This window comes from Homo sapiens, chromosome 9, assembly GCF_000001405.40.
Source record: "Homo sapiens chromosome 9, GRCh38.p14 Primary Assembly".
Taxonomy (NCBI): Eukaryota; Metazoa; Chordata; class Mammalia; order Primates; family Hominidae; genus Homo; species Homo sapiens.
In genome coordinates this window covers 33,539,225-33,552,873 of record NC_000009.12, presented here as the reverse complement: position 1 = coordinate 33,552,873, position 13,649 = coordinate 33,539,225, and the positions used below count along the sequence as shown (strand labels likewise).

General features: G+C 36.9%; 1 protein-coding gene across 2 annotated transcripts in view; it reads right to left on the bottom strand.

The window, feature by feature from the left end:
- The window catches only part of ANKRD18B (ankyrin repeat domain 18B), a 51,192-nt gene that overhangs the window by 22,569 nt on the left and 14,974 nt on the right, over positions 1 to 13,649 (bottom strand). Inside the window, exons 7-12 of one of the 2 annotated variants that reach the window (NM_001393611.1) lie at positions 13,372 to 13,425; positions 12,662 to 12,796; positions 11,647 to 11,727; positions 9,619 to 9,689; positions 4,019 to 4,936; positions 2,295 to 2,444 (exon numbers count right to left, since the gene is read on the bottom strand). In NM_001393611.1, the coding sequence (NP_001380540.1) occupies positions 2,295 to 2,444; positions 4,019 to 4,936; positions 9,619 to 9,689; positions 11,647 to 11,727; positions 12,662 to 12,796; positions 13,372 to 13,425 (1,409 nt within the window). The remainder of the gene's footprint in view (positions 1 to 2,294; positions 2,445 to 4,018; positions 4,937 to 9,618; positions 9,690 to 11,646; positions 11,728 to 12,661; positions 12,797 to 13,371; positions 13,426 to 13,649) is intronic. The other variant, NM_001353432.2, reaches the window with a different exon arrangement.

The following is a 13,649-nucleotide window of genomic DNA, read 5'->3' as shown; positions in this document are numbered from 1 at the left end:
CACTTAGAAGAGTATGTGGTGCATGGTGAGCTACAGGTAAGATTTGCTTAGAAGCACTTAGAAGAGTACATGTACATAGTGAGCTACAGACAATATTTGCTATTAGCATGATAATTTTCACTCTTTTTTATCTCTTGACCATTGTATGTGTTAGGGAGGTGGCATTCCAATGGAAGTGGCCTCCTATAGATGCACTGAATCATTCTTCACACCACTGAAAGTGGCAGCAAATGGGGAGTGTATAATTTATAGCTTACTCTTCTCTCTGTGTGACTCAGTGGGCAACAGTCATGTATGTACTACAATGGAAACAGCACCTCCTGGATTGAGTAGTACATAACCGACATGACCAGCAGAGACAGGCTGAGCCACGGAGCTGAAAACCCTGGACTCTATTGCTAAATCAAGTCTTCTGAATCAATTCCCTCCCAGCAGCTGTTGCTGTGGCACTGCCTTCACGAGTACTCTGCTGAGCGCTAGGATTAAGGAGCTGTGCTGTCCTTCATCAGACAAGCTGCAGCCAGAACTATTCAGCTGACAAACTGGCAACCATCCAGAAATACAGTTTTGGCTACATAGTGAAGGAAGGCAAATTTAGATTCTTTTTTCATACTGAGAAAAACATGAGCACTTGATTGAACAATTCTCCTCTATTAGACTAATTGGTTTTAATTTCATATTTAATTGCTAAAAATACACTTAGAATAAAAGATTTACTGTGTTAATGTCTCAAAGAAGAAATAATTGGTATGGTATATTTTGTTCTATGCTAAAAGCTGCCAAGCTAAAATATTTTCAATTTATACAAGGATAGGTGACATTCATGTCATATATTATTTTCCCTTTAAGTGAATTTATGTTAAGACAAAATTATCTTCCATTAAAAATTAAAATCCATGTCAAATTAAGGGCTAAGTTGTTCTGCAGACTGGGCAACAAGTGCTGAGATGTAAGGTCAGTGAGAGAACAGTCAGAGAAAGCTTCAAGAAGAGGACATTGCCTGTCAGGTCTGAATGAATGAGGCTAGATGAGCAGGAACTGAGAAGGCAGGAAGGACAGCATGGGTAAAACTGGTGCTGACATCTGCCCAATTAACTCTGAGGATAGAGTCCAATGGCAGGGAAATAAAAACATATGTCCATACAATAACCTGTAAATGAATGTTTGCAACAGCTGTTTTCATAATAGCCAAAAAGTGGAAACAACCTAAAGGTCCATCAGCTGATGAATGAATGGAAAACTGGTGTAGCCATGAAATAGACTATTATTTGACAATAAGAAGGAATAAACTACTGATATGTGCTACAACATGGATAAAATTCTGAAAACATTCTGCTAAGTGAAAGAGCCAGTCAGAAAGGACTTCATATTGTATGACTCTATGTATTTAAATATGCAGACCATGCAAATCTATGGAGACAAAAGTGGATGGTGGTTGCCTACAACTGGGGTAGGTGGAGAGACATGGAGTGGGGTTGCAGTCATGGCTAAGAGATGTAGGATTGCTTTTCAGAGTGGTGAAAATGTTCTAGCATTGATTATGCTGATGACCACACAGCACTGTGAATATACTAACAGACACTGAGTTGTACATTTTAAATGGTTGAACTGTCTGACATGTGAATTATCTCTCAGTGAAACTGTTTTTAAAATCCCATGGTAGGATCCAGATAATTTTCTGAGCTCTCTATTTTGGATGTACATACTCTATTAGATCTGAGTATTTCTACGCCATTACAATATATTTTAAATGAAAGGAAGATGAAGGCAATGCCTAACTTTTCAAGTAGTTTGTAAATTAACCTAAAACATGTGCATTTCAAAGAACAGTATGATGGCCTTTCTGTACAAGTTAACCTAGAATCCATGAAATGAATACGCACAGCTGCTGTGTCCATTCACAAAAGTGAAGAAATAAGACAACTTGATGGAATATTCCATTAAACATTCTCTTCTGACTTAATCTGGCTTGCCTCACCAAGGCATTAAGGAAATTATCTAAAAATACTGTTTAACAGGAAAAAAGTCAATTTTCTGTGAGGAATGATGTATCATTCTCAACTTTCCCAAGAGTAGATATTATAAGAGAAAACATATGCAATTATTATTTCAAAATGGCAGAACAAGAGCCAGAGTTGAAGAAGTACGTTATAAAGATAATAAAATGGTAATGATCAATTATAATGAAAATACAAAATCAAGCTGTCCACTGAAATTAGTATCCTAAGACACTTAGGATACTGGTATTCAACCAGCTACAGATTAACTGTCTACATGTTAAATTCCATACATACTTGAATTTCTACTTGAAATAATTTCTTCTTTGAAGTCCATGTCTCATCCAAATTAATATGACAATGTGATGTACCTTCCAGTGGAGACTCTGACATTGAAAATTTTTTAAGATGATCGACCAGTTCTTCTTGAAATTCTCTCACAATCACCTGACAAAATATTTTTGTTACCAATTTTATAAAGTGCCTTATTATTAAATTATGTTAATATTTAACTCTAGCATACATACTTTGAAAATTATTACCACACACACAGATTCACTTTCTTTTCCTCATATGTACACTTTCTTCTTTATTACTGAATTCAGTGAGGGACATAGAAGGTGTTATATTCTGCCAAATTGATATTCTCTTACATGACAGATTGATCCAGCCCGCTATTCATTCACCTTAGACCCTCAACTCAACCTGAGTTCCTCACATATTCAGTCACCTGTTGAAATCCTTCCAACGGATTCCTACCTCAGAATAAAAGTAAAATTCCAACAGCCTTCAAGGCCCTAGGTAACATGGCCTCTACCTCCCTCCCTGACCTCAGCTCCTACAACTCTGTCCCGTACAAACTTCAATCCCACTCTCCGTGAACTCTGCCACCCCTCATTAGTCTGAAAATGGGGATTCAATGTCAAACTCATAAATCACAGACAGCTAAAAGTATCTTTGTACTGGAAAGAATTATATCCAAATGATAGTCATTGAGACTTAAAATGTAAATTATGAGCTAATTACCCATAAAAATATTCACAGTAAATTATAAATACCTGCCAGTGGAAACATTACATCAAATATTTTTTTGCTAAAATTTACCACATTTATTCCAAATTGTGATTTTATAACAAGTAGAAGTCTTTAAAATACTAAGTGGTCAGAAAAATACATAATGTGAGACTGACATATTTTCAGACTTAAGTCACATTGGTATGAATCAGAACAAAGTTATACTAACTAAAATACATATAAGAGAGAGCCACTGAAGGAAAAGCATCACAAGACACAGCAACACACTTCAGTTCATCTGGAAAATCTAAGTGTCAAAGCGGCTCACTTAATTGAATCTGAATTTCAAAATACACATTTCAGGTGCAAGCATTTCCACTTACCTGCTTCATTATGCTCTTAAAATGCGGCAACATAAAGACGTTACATTTCTTATTTCAGTAGTCTAAGACTACACACCTTATCAGCATTGCTCTGCATCTACTAACATTTCATAGGTGACATAATGTCTTTACTCAAAGGAAAGCAACTGTCAGCTCTACCTTTTATCTCCTGGAAACAAAGCATGTTTCCAAGCTGATACAGTAAACACTTTTTTGGTTTACTAAAACAGCTTCGTTGAAATATGATTTTTATTCAAACAGCTTTGTTGAAATATGATTTATAGAATTTATCTGTTTTAACAAACAGTTCAAAGATTTTTAGTAAATTTACTGTGTCGTGCAACCATCTCTACAATCCAACTTTAGAACATTTTCATCACTCCAGGACAATCCCTAATGCCCATTAGCAGTCACGACCCGCTTCCAGCCCCAGGCCTACACAAACATTAATCATCTTTCTGTCCCTATACATGTATTTCCTGGATGATTCATGTAAATGGAATTATACAGAATGGTAAACACATTTTCATCTATTTATTTTTATATTGAACTACGTTCAACATATAGCCACAATGAAATGTTTAAATTTTCTTTCCAGAAGGTTATAGTTTTCTTCATACTTACTTCTCTTTCTGCTTTTTCTTTTTCATACTGAAGCAGTTTTTCTTTTAAATAATTATATTCATTCATTAATTCCTTATTTCTTTCTTCTAGAAGATCTTCCTTTCCATTCTCAAGACAGTCTCTGTGGATATTAATGACTATCTCTTTATTATCACCTTCCTTACGAGCATCCTCTAGTTGTCGTTCAAGCAAGAGATTTTCAAGTTCTCGTTGACGTATTCTCTCCTCTGAAGAGTTCTGCTTTCCAATGGATTGACTTTCTTTAGCTTCCCCATTTGGATGCATCTGCTTCATTTCCTTTATTCGATGCTGCGCTTGCTTTAGGTCCAGCTGTACACTTTCTAAAGCCAATGTCTTTTCCCTGAGAGCATCTCTTGTCTCACGGAGCTTACCTTTTAAGGTATTGAACTTCACCCGAGCTTTATGGACCTGTTCAGTAAGCAACTCATTCTTATCTGTTAGTTGAGAAATATTAGAACCCATTGTTTCATGTCTAGAAACATCATCTGCTCTCCATAAAACTAGTTCTAGGTCTTTTCTTTCCAAAATTTCATTGTACTCATTTATAGCAGTGGCCAAGTTAGAATGGAGGGATTCAACTTCAGCTTCTAGTCTTTCTTTGTTGTGTTTTTCCTTCTCCAATTTTGAATTCAGCCTTGCATTCTCAGCTTTCAGATCATTAAGCTGTTGCGAATACTGGGCCACTTTTTTTGTTATCATTTCTTCATTGAGTCTTACACTCTTTTCAAAGTTAGCATTTATTTCTGTAATACTTTTAATTTCCTGAATATATTTCTTTTCCTTTCTGAGACTGTCATTTTTTATTGCATATAATTCCTCTTTGAGCATGGCAATGTCTCTCTTCAACATAAAATTTCCAAACATCTCATCCTTCTTTTTTCCATAACTTTGAGAATCCTAAATAAAACAAAACAAATTTTTAGTTAGCACTCAAAATAATCTATGATGGTTATTTCTGAAGTGAAAGAGCAACCTATACATTCATGCAATTAAAAGTTGCTGTAAGTGGATAACCAACTGGAGAAAAAAATTGAAGCAAAACCTTGAACCTTAGAGAACATACATTTCAAAAAGTTCAAAAATGTATTTGAAGTCAATGAATCCATAAAACACACACACACACACACACACACACACACACACACACACACACTCTAGAGAATTTTTAAGAATATCAGAATTGGAAAAGCATTTCTCTGAATTACAACAAACTCAAAGCATAAAGTTGTTTAAAAATTTGACTAAATTAAAATCTTGGAAAAAGGAAATTGCATTTATACTCTGATATCTAACCCAGACACCACCCTATAGTAAGAGCTTTACCTCCACATCTATTTGGACAGATAAAATCTCTCAAAGTTTTAAAAGTTCTGTTTCCCTGATCATATTCTATTGTGATTTGACTCAACATTTTTTAGTCAGTTGTAAGAATTACATTTACTAAATCATAAATCTAGACATTGTACTAAGCACTTCTACATACATATATTGATGAACTTATTTAGTTATCACAATCCTTAAAAAAGACAGGTTAAAAATATAAGCAAGCTGCAGGATTTTCCTCACGGCTTCTGACTCTACTTCCAGTTCTCCATCAGATCACAGTTACCTCTGTGGTGTAAATATATCAACACAAAAACAGAGAAACAAAAAGACACAGGCATAAAATGTGTCTTCTGCCTTTGTCACTTGGATTCTCCATGAAATAGCCAGATTGAGAGGATGTGACCTTGTGGGGCTTCAGAAACAGAAAAGAACCTTTCCCTTTTCTGCACTAAGATATTCTTTTCCCCACTGCCTTTTCTCCTTATTTTTTCATTTGGTTCCTGGGATATCAAAAAAGTGAAGGTGCTCACTGAAATAGAGGAACCAAAGTTTGCCACAACACAAGGAGCCGAGTGAAACTGCTGAGTTTCTAGTGTGGAATCCTGGAAAATGAGATGTTCCTCAAATGTACATTCAATCACCACAGAAGTTTGTAGCTGGAAGATACACAGTATAGCTGTCCACTCTAGCCCCATTATCTACTTGATAATGGAAGTAAAACCAAGAAATATTAAGTAACTCACCCAAAGCCCCTAAGGTGGCATTGCCTAGCATTTCGTGGCACCAAAAGGGAAGATACAATTACATATTGCTGAATTACATCAATTACCAGATAAATACATCCAATTCGTCAAATAAATTAAAAGTGTGACTTTGGCAAAACAATTTAATGGCTCAGAGGGTGGTGGGAGGCCTCATCTGCTTTTACTTTGAAAGAAGAAAATCTCTAGATTTTTGTCTATCTTTAGAACATAATGTACAGGACTCAGCCTTCTACTATAGAGTCAAATGCTAAATTTTTGGCTGAGGAGTTACGCTACTTATATGATAAAATCATACATGTCAAAACCTACCATATTTTATTAAACAACATCATGTAAAAGTCTGATTCAACAGAAACATTGGAGTGGTGATTTTCTTAAATATGTGAAAGTATGTGTATTTGTTTCCAAAAACATTTAAAGTGGCCATGATGGAATTATAAGTTTAAACAGTTTGAGTCAAACAGATAAACTTGCATGCATGAAAGCATATTAAACAGACTGGTTTGGCTGGGAATATTTGTTGCAACTCTCAAGGTCAGATACATTTTCATGTCTCTTCTCAGTCATTGCTTTCCTCCCACTGTATTACCATTTTATCATTTAAATAAATGTAATTCATCTTTAAATGAATATAGAAAAAAGAATCTAGACAGTATTTCTTTAGCAATTTCCCTTATGCTTATCTGGTTCAGAAGGTCACATGGTATATGGCTAAATAATTTTCCCAGCCCATATGCCACTTGGAAAACTCACAGTGAGACTTAGGTTGATGAATGAACAAAGATTATGAGAATGTTTTCCAGAACCGCCATTTAGACAGCAGCACTAATCTACTTTGACACATAATTACACATTTAGATAACCCCACTGTAACTATACATGTGAGATTTTCTTGAGTAGAAAACCAGAACGGATCAGATAACTTATAAAAAGAGAAGCAGCAAGGGAACCTCTTTTATAGTTGAACTTTTTTTCTTCAAAGTCAGGAACTCTACTTGTAACAAGCCTGTCTCATTCTTAAGCCTTTGCATATCTTGCTGTAAGTCTTCCTCTAGATATGCTTTTGATGTTCTGTCACTATGTGGTGGAGAATAACTCACATTTTCTAATTCATGTTTCATGCTTTTATAGATATTAGCAGTGGGACTGTCATATGTGGGTCCCTGAAACACACTTGCCAAACACCTTCTAAGCTTTAGAAGAGCTTCTAAGTTCCATATGGCTTGTGGAACAAGCGATGTATTGGTTTTCGGCTTTGTAAATGTCTGCAATAGCAGAAATACTGTAGCTTTCTATTCGTATCACATGCTTCCATTCTTTGGAGTGAGCAAACCACAAATCAAAAAGACTTTTTGGATCTACAGACTGAGGCCAATGTCTACTGACTAATTTCCAATCTGTGGTATTTTGGGTTATATTTTCTCGTATTTGCATATCAAACTCTTGGTCTTTTTTCATTTCAGCCATAACTACTGGGTTCCTTAATTTTTCAATTTCTGTATCATTACAACAATTCTCTTTCTTCTTCATCTCTGTGAGAAACAGGCTGCATGTCTGGTTTGTTACAATCTTTACAGTCTGATCTATTTTCATTTGAATAAAGCTTAGAAGATGACTGGCAAGTGTGTTGGAGGGACCCAGAGTATAAATGCAACGATAAGACCTGAGTGAGATGGGCTCCTTCTGTTCAGCCAATGCCTGGAATAGCACAGAGTTAGACACTCCAGGTGCATCTGCTTCCTCACCATCAGGGATAGGATTCATCAGATTACAGGGCACTCCCTTTAAGTTTGTCCCTCTTTAGAGTTACAATGTAAGAGCTCTTCCTCAGGACAAACAGTAATTCTGGATTTTTCAAAACTTTCACCAATCTTCAGTTGAACTTTTTTGTAATGAATTTTTTTTTTGAGATGGACTTTCACTCTTGTTGCCCAGGCTGGAGTGCAATGGCATGATCTTGGCTCAACACAACCTCTGCCTCCCATGTTCAAGCAATTCTCCTGCCTCAGCCTCCCGAGTAGCTGGGATTACAGGCATGCACCACCACACCCAGCTAATTTTGTATTTTTAGTAGAGATGGGGTTTCTCCATGTTGGTCAGGCTGGTCTTGAACTCCTGACCTCACATGATCTGCCTGCCTCAGCCTCCCAAAGTGCTGGGATTACAGCTGTGAGCCACCACGCCCAGAATTGTAATGAATTTTAAAGGAAGTCCTGAATATACAGATATATCCTCTTTATTACAATTCTTACTCAGTTCTGGTTCTTGAGACATTTTTTTGCAGGTGCAAAAGTGGAAAATTAATTTGCTTCTTTTGTTTCTCAGATGTCTTTTCTGACAGGGTGCATGTTTTAAAATTAACTTTATTCTAAATTAAGTATGAACAAAGAAAAAATAGAAAATAATTAAAACTCAACTGTGAAACTTAATCTATGTTTTACTACTCCTAAGTTACTGGATTATAACTAAGAAGTAAAAATAATTTCCCTTGGCTTAATATAGGGGAAAAACGTGAACCAGGAAGCTTAACTCTCACTGTTTGTTTGGAGTAAACTTAATTCATTATCAATTAAATCTGACAGAAATAGGTTCACAGAAGATATGTAGTATCTAAAGGCTTTCTCTCTTGAAAAGATTTTTACCTCAGCATACCCTAAATAGTGAACCCCTACAGTGAATTCATATTTCTAGGATTAATTAAAGAGTAGGCAAATGCTAAATTATTAGAAGCCAAAATGAATACCAATCAGAAAGAAGAAAATTTTGATTCTACTTCAAATGTTATACTGTAATATGATAGTGTTATCTAGATAGGTTATCTGCTTATATCCAGGTCTAATATATTCTAAGCTCCACTAGTGACAGCGCTTTACAAATTTTAACAGCATTTTCTACTTATGTTAAAACAAGAAAGTTATTGTTTGCACCCTGACACCAAAGTCCCATTCTGGAAAGCATAATTCTCTCAATAGGCAGTTGGACTGCTTTTATGACCCCATCTTCTCCCTGAACATAGACACTGAAGGCAACCAGAAACCAAAAAACAGAAGAAGTCTTTAACCTCAGCACTGGTGACTGGCAACATAAAATTGCAGTTTGAACCACCGGGAATGATGACTCCTTTCACATGAGGTGAACTCAGTGGCCATCACCGTTCAATTGCTCATCATTTCTCTTGCTTAGTAATACAACTCAATTTTTGATGTTACCTTCTTTATCAGGAAGAAGATTATAAAAATAAAAGAGCAAAGAGAGTTCTGGAAATTTCTGGCCTCAATTCCAAGGGTACAGATAGCTATGATTTACTATAGACTATAAGAATATTTTACATTTTATAACAGGCTAAAATATTTTAAAATTCAACATGAAATTATGCTCTGTTGGATTCTAAAAGGATAGTCTAAAAGGTCACTTCATTTGGACTATGCTATGTTATTAAAGAAAAACAAACAAACCAATATTAAACCAGAAATTTAAATTGTTATATACCTGCGGCTGTTTATTTTCACTTCTTTCAAGCCTTTCTTGCTTTTCCTCTGAAGCCACTTTTAAGTTGTGTTCTGCTGACAAATCCATATGTTTAGTTAAAATGAATGACTTAAAAACTATAATCTTTATAAAAATTGATACAAAACAACACACACTTTTCTTTTATAAATTGAGAATTTAAATGAAGCTTAATGTTTACTGGAATATTTACATTTTTAAGAAACATTTCTAATTATCTAAAACTTTAACAAACCACTTGGGGAGACACTAGATATCAGCAGGTTCAAGCCATGCAAAAGTCTCAGGGTCACCCAAAAATTATTCCACCCAATATAAAAAAAAAACTGCTGGAAACAAACCAAAATTTAAAAATACAGTAAAAACACATAAAGTAACACTTTACTATTCTCTGCTTCATAACAGTATCTTTTTAACAACATGCTAAGCACATTATTTACTAATAATTTGCAAAATTTTTGTTACTGTTATACCTTTATAGTGTACACCCTGTTTTTTACATCTGAAATATTTTCCTCTACAGTTCTGATGAATTTATTTTTGTGTTTTAAGACTCAGAATGTAGGCTGGGGACGTAGCTCACACCTGTAATCCCAGCACTTTGGAAGGCCCAGGTGAGATAACTGCTTGAAGCCAGGAGTTTAAGACCAGCCCAGAGACCATAGTGAAACCCTGACTCTACAGAAAATTTGTCAGGCATAGTGGTCTGTGCCTACAGTCCCAGCTACTCAAGAGGCTGAGGCAAGAGGATCCCTTAAGCCCAGGAGTTTCAGTTTGCAGTGAGTCTCGATCATGCCATTGCACTCCACCCTGGGTGACAGAGTAAAAACTTGTTTCCAAAAACAGAAAAAAAAAAAAAAGGAAAAAAGGCTCAAAATTCTATGTGAAGTCCTCCCTGAATCTGGCTATCTTTTCTCCACGTACACAGGTGTCTCCTTTCTTGGGGCTCCCTTCGTACTTTTTGAATTTTTCTAGTGTCACTTCACCATCTGAGCTGCACATCAGGTCTTTGCATGTCTATCCCCTTTGTTGCTAGACTGTAGCAATCATCTCTGTGTAGACAGTCTTTATTTTACTAAATATTTATTGAGTTCCTGCTAAGTGGTAGGCACAGGTGTTTAAAGAATGAGAATAAAAGCTGTCAGGGATGGCTTTTCTAGAGATCATGCCTGAGCTGAGACTTAGACAGTGAGATTCACCAGATTAAAAGAGGCAGAGGGCAGGAAAGATAGCACATGCCAGGCAGCAGCAAGAGAGGGAGAGAAGCCTCCCAGAGCGTATGTTTTTGTCTACATGAGAAGGATGGTGACAGGGGCATCACCAGCAGCTCAGTAATGCCAGAAAAAGGGGCAGACAGAGAAAGGGCTGCAGATGGAGATTTGGGCAGAAGCCAGTTTCTGAAAGCCTTATATAAACCAACTATTATTGTCATTTCTTAAATTTTTTTAAAAAGCAAAACAAATTAGAAAAGCATAATTCCGAGAAAAAGACCAACATTTTATTTTATTGTATCTTATCTTATTTGACTTGAATTTTCTGAGAGATGGGGTCTCACTCTGCCACCCAGGCTACAGTATAATGTTGCTATCATAGTTAACTGCAGGCTCAAAGTTCTAGGCTGAAGTAATTCTCCTGCTTCAGCCTCCCAGGTAGCTGGAATTACAGGTGCAGAACACCACACCAAGTTACAGTTTTTGCAAAATAGTCACGAGGTCTGGCGATGTTGCCCAGGCTGCTGGACCTCCAAGCCTCAAGGGATGCTTCTATCTCAGCCTCCAACACTGACTCATTACAGGCAGGAGCCACCGTTCCCAGCAACACCAATATTTTCAAATGAATAAACTGGAGCTCTATCATTTTATTTTATCATGGATGGGTGAAAACCTTGTAATAGACTGATGTACTCCATGGATTTGTGACAAGGAAACTATACCATTAACTACGGCTGAAGCTTCCCTTGTCTCCCAGTCTCTTTACATGGTTAAGAGTAGAGATACTCAAGTGTCTTACCTTTTGCACCTTCTTTTCTTTTTTTCAATTTTTTTCTTTTTTTTCTTTTTTTCAAATTTTCAGGCTTCATAGCTGCTGTTTCTGTCAAACACGCAAACTTGTTAGATATTCCTTCTGGAAAACATCATCCCTCTGCCTCCTTACCTGGCAAAGTTTCACTTACTCTGCATGCTTACCCTAAATCCTACCCATTAGAAGCTTGCACTCATCACCACAAATTTAAAAGTGAATGGCATCTAATGAACATACTAAATACATAGTAAATAATAACTATATGCTCCCAGGTGACATCTATCCTCCATCTATCCTCTACATAATGGGTCAGCACACTGCAGACTACAGGCCAAATCCTGCCTACCATATGTTTTTTCTCAATGAAGTTTTATGAGAGTACAGTCATGCCTATTCACTGACATGCTACCTATGACGGCTTTCACACTACAATGGCAGGGTTGAGTAGCTACGACAGAGACCACATGGCCTTCAGCTGCTTAAATCGTTCTTGAAAAAGAGAGAGAGAGACCACATGGCCTAAAATATTTCCTATTTGGCCCTTTACAGAGAAAGCTTGCCAATCCCAGCTTTATACCCTGAACAGAATGCCCTAAATCTCAAATTGAATCTAATGCCTCCCCTGCTTACAATTTTCCAATGAATTTCTAGAGCAAACACTGCTGGCTCCCTATCCAAGAGCAGTTCCTTGTTGTTTCTTGCTGGAGAATCACAAATCTATGTGGATATTTATTATCCCAATACCCCTCCTCAGCTTCAAAACATAAGTGATTATTCTAAGCTAATCATATAACTACATTTGCTTTCCCGGTGCCTGGTTTAGGAATGAGCATGTGGTGTGACCCAGCTAATAAAATATTACAGAAAGGGCTGAGCACAGTGGCTCATCTCTGTAATCCCAGCACTTTGGGAGGCCGAGGCAGGCGGATCACGAGGTCAAGAGACTGAGACCATTCTGGCCAACATGGTGAAACCCTGTCTCTACTAAAAATACAAAAATTACCTGGGCATGGTCGCATGTGCCTGTTGTCCCAGCTCCTCGGGAGGCTGAGGCAGGAGAATTGCTTGAACCTGGGAGGTGAAGGCTGCAGTAATCTGAGATCATGCCACTGGACTCCAGACTGGTGATAGAGCGAGACTACATCCCCGAAGGAAAAAAAAAATTTACAAAAAGTCCCCTGCATGCTTCTGAATTTTCTCCCAATTTAAAAGACACATGTGAAGAAAAGCAGCCCTTCCAGCCTTTAGATACTGTCTTGTGAGAACATGGTGTTTGGAGCTGTTGCTAAGTAGCCAACCATGAAGGGAGACATGAACAAGACACTGCCAACAGCATAACTGAAAGAGGAACAAGTGGAATCCAATAATATCACTGGACAACCAAAACAAGTCTGGTTCTTATGGTTTTGGCCACTGTTAGGTCTTCCAGTATTTGCAGCCAAAAGCATTCTACCTCAGAAGTTTCCCCTGGCCTACAGGATAAGATCTACTCATTTCTATACTATTAGAAGTCTTTTATTGAACTTGTTTCTAGACACAGGTAAAACAACAACAAAGTCTTTCCTAAGCTTGCCTTCACTGACACGTACTAAGTATAATAAATAATAACTATAAGCTATTTTCACCTCATTACCAAGCACTCCATATATTTTTTTTTGCACTAGTAAATTTGAACTGCTCATAAACTCTACAAAGTTCACTCAGGTGTCCTACCTTTTGAACTTGCTCCTTGTGTTTTAAAACTTTCATTCTTCATGGCTGCTGCTTCTGTCAAACATGCAAGCTTGTTAGATACTATTTCTGCCAAACATCATCCCTCTGCCTCCTTACCTGGCAAAGTTCCACTCACTCTGCACGCTTACCCTAAATCCTACCCACATTTTAGAAGACTGCATTCATCGCCACAAACGTAAACGTGCCTGGCACATACTGAACGTGATACATATGTAATAAATAATAACTATAAGCTCCCAGATGACATTGGACACACA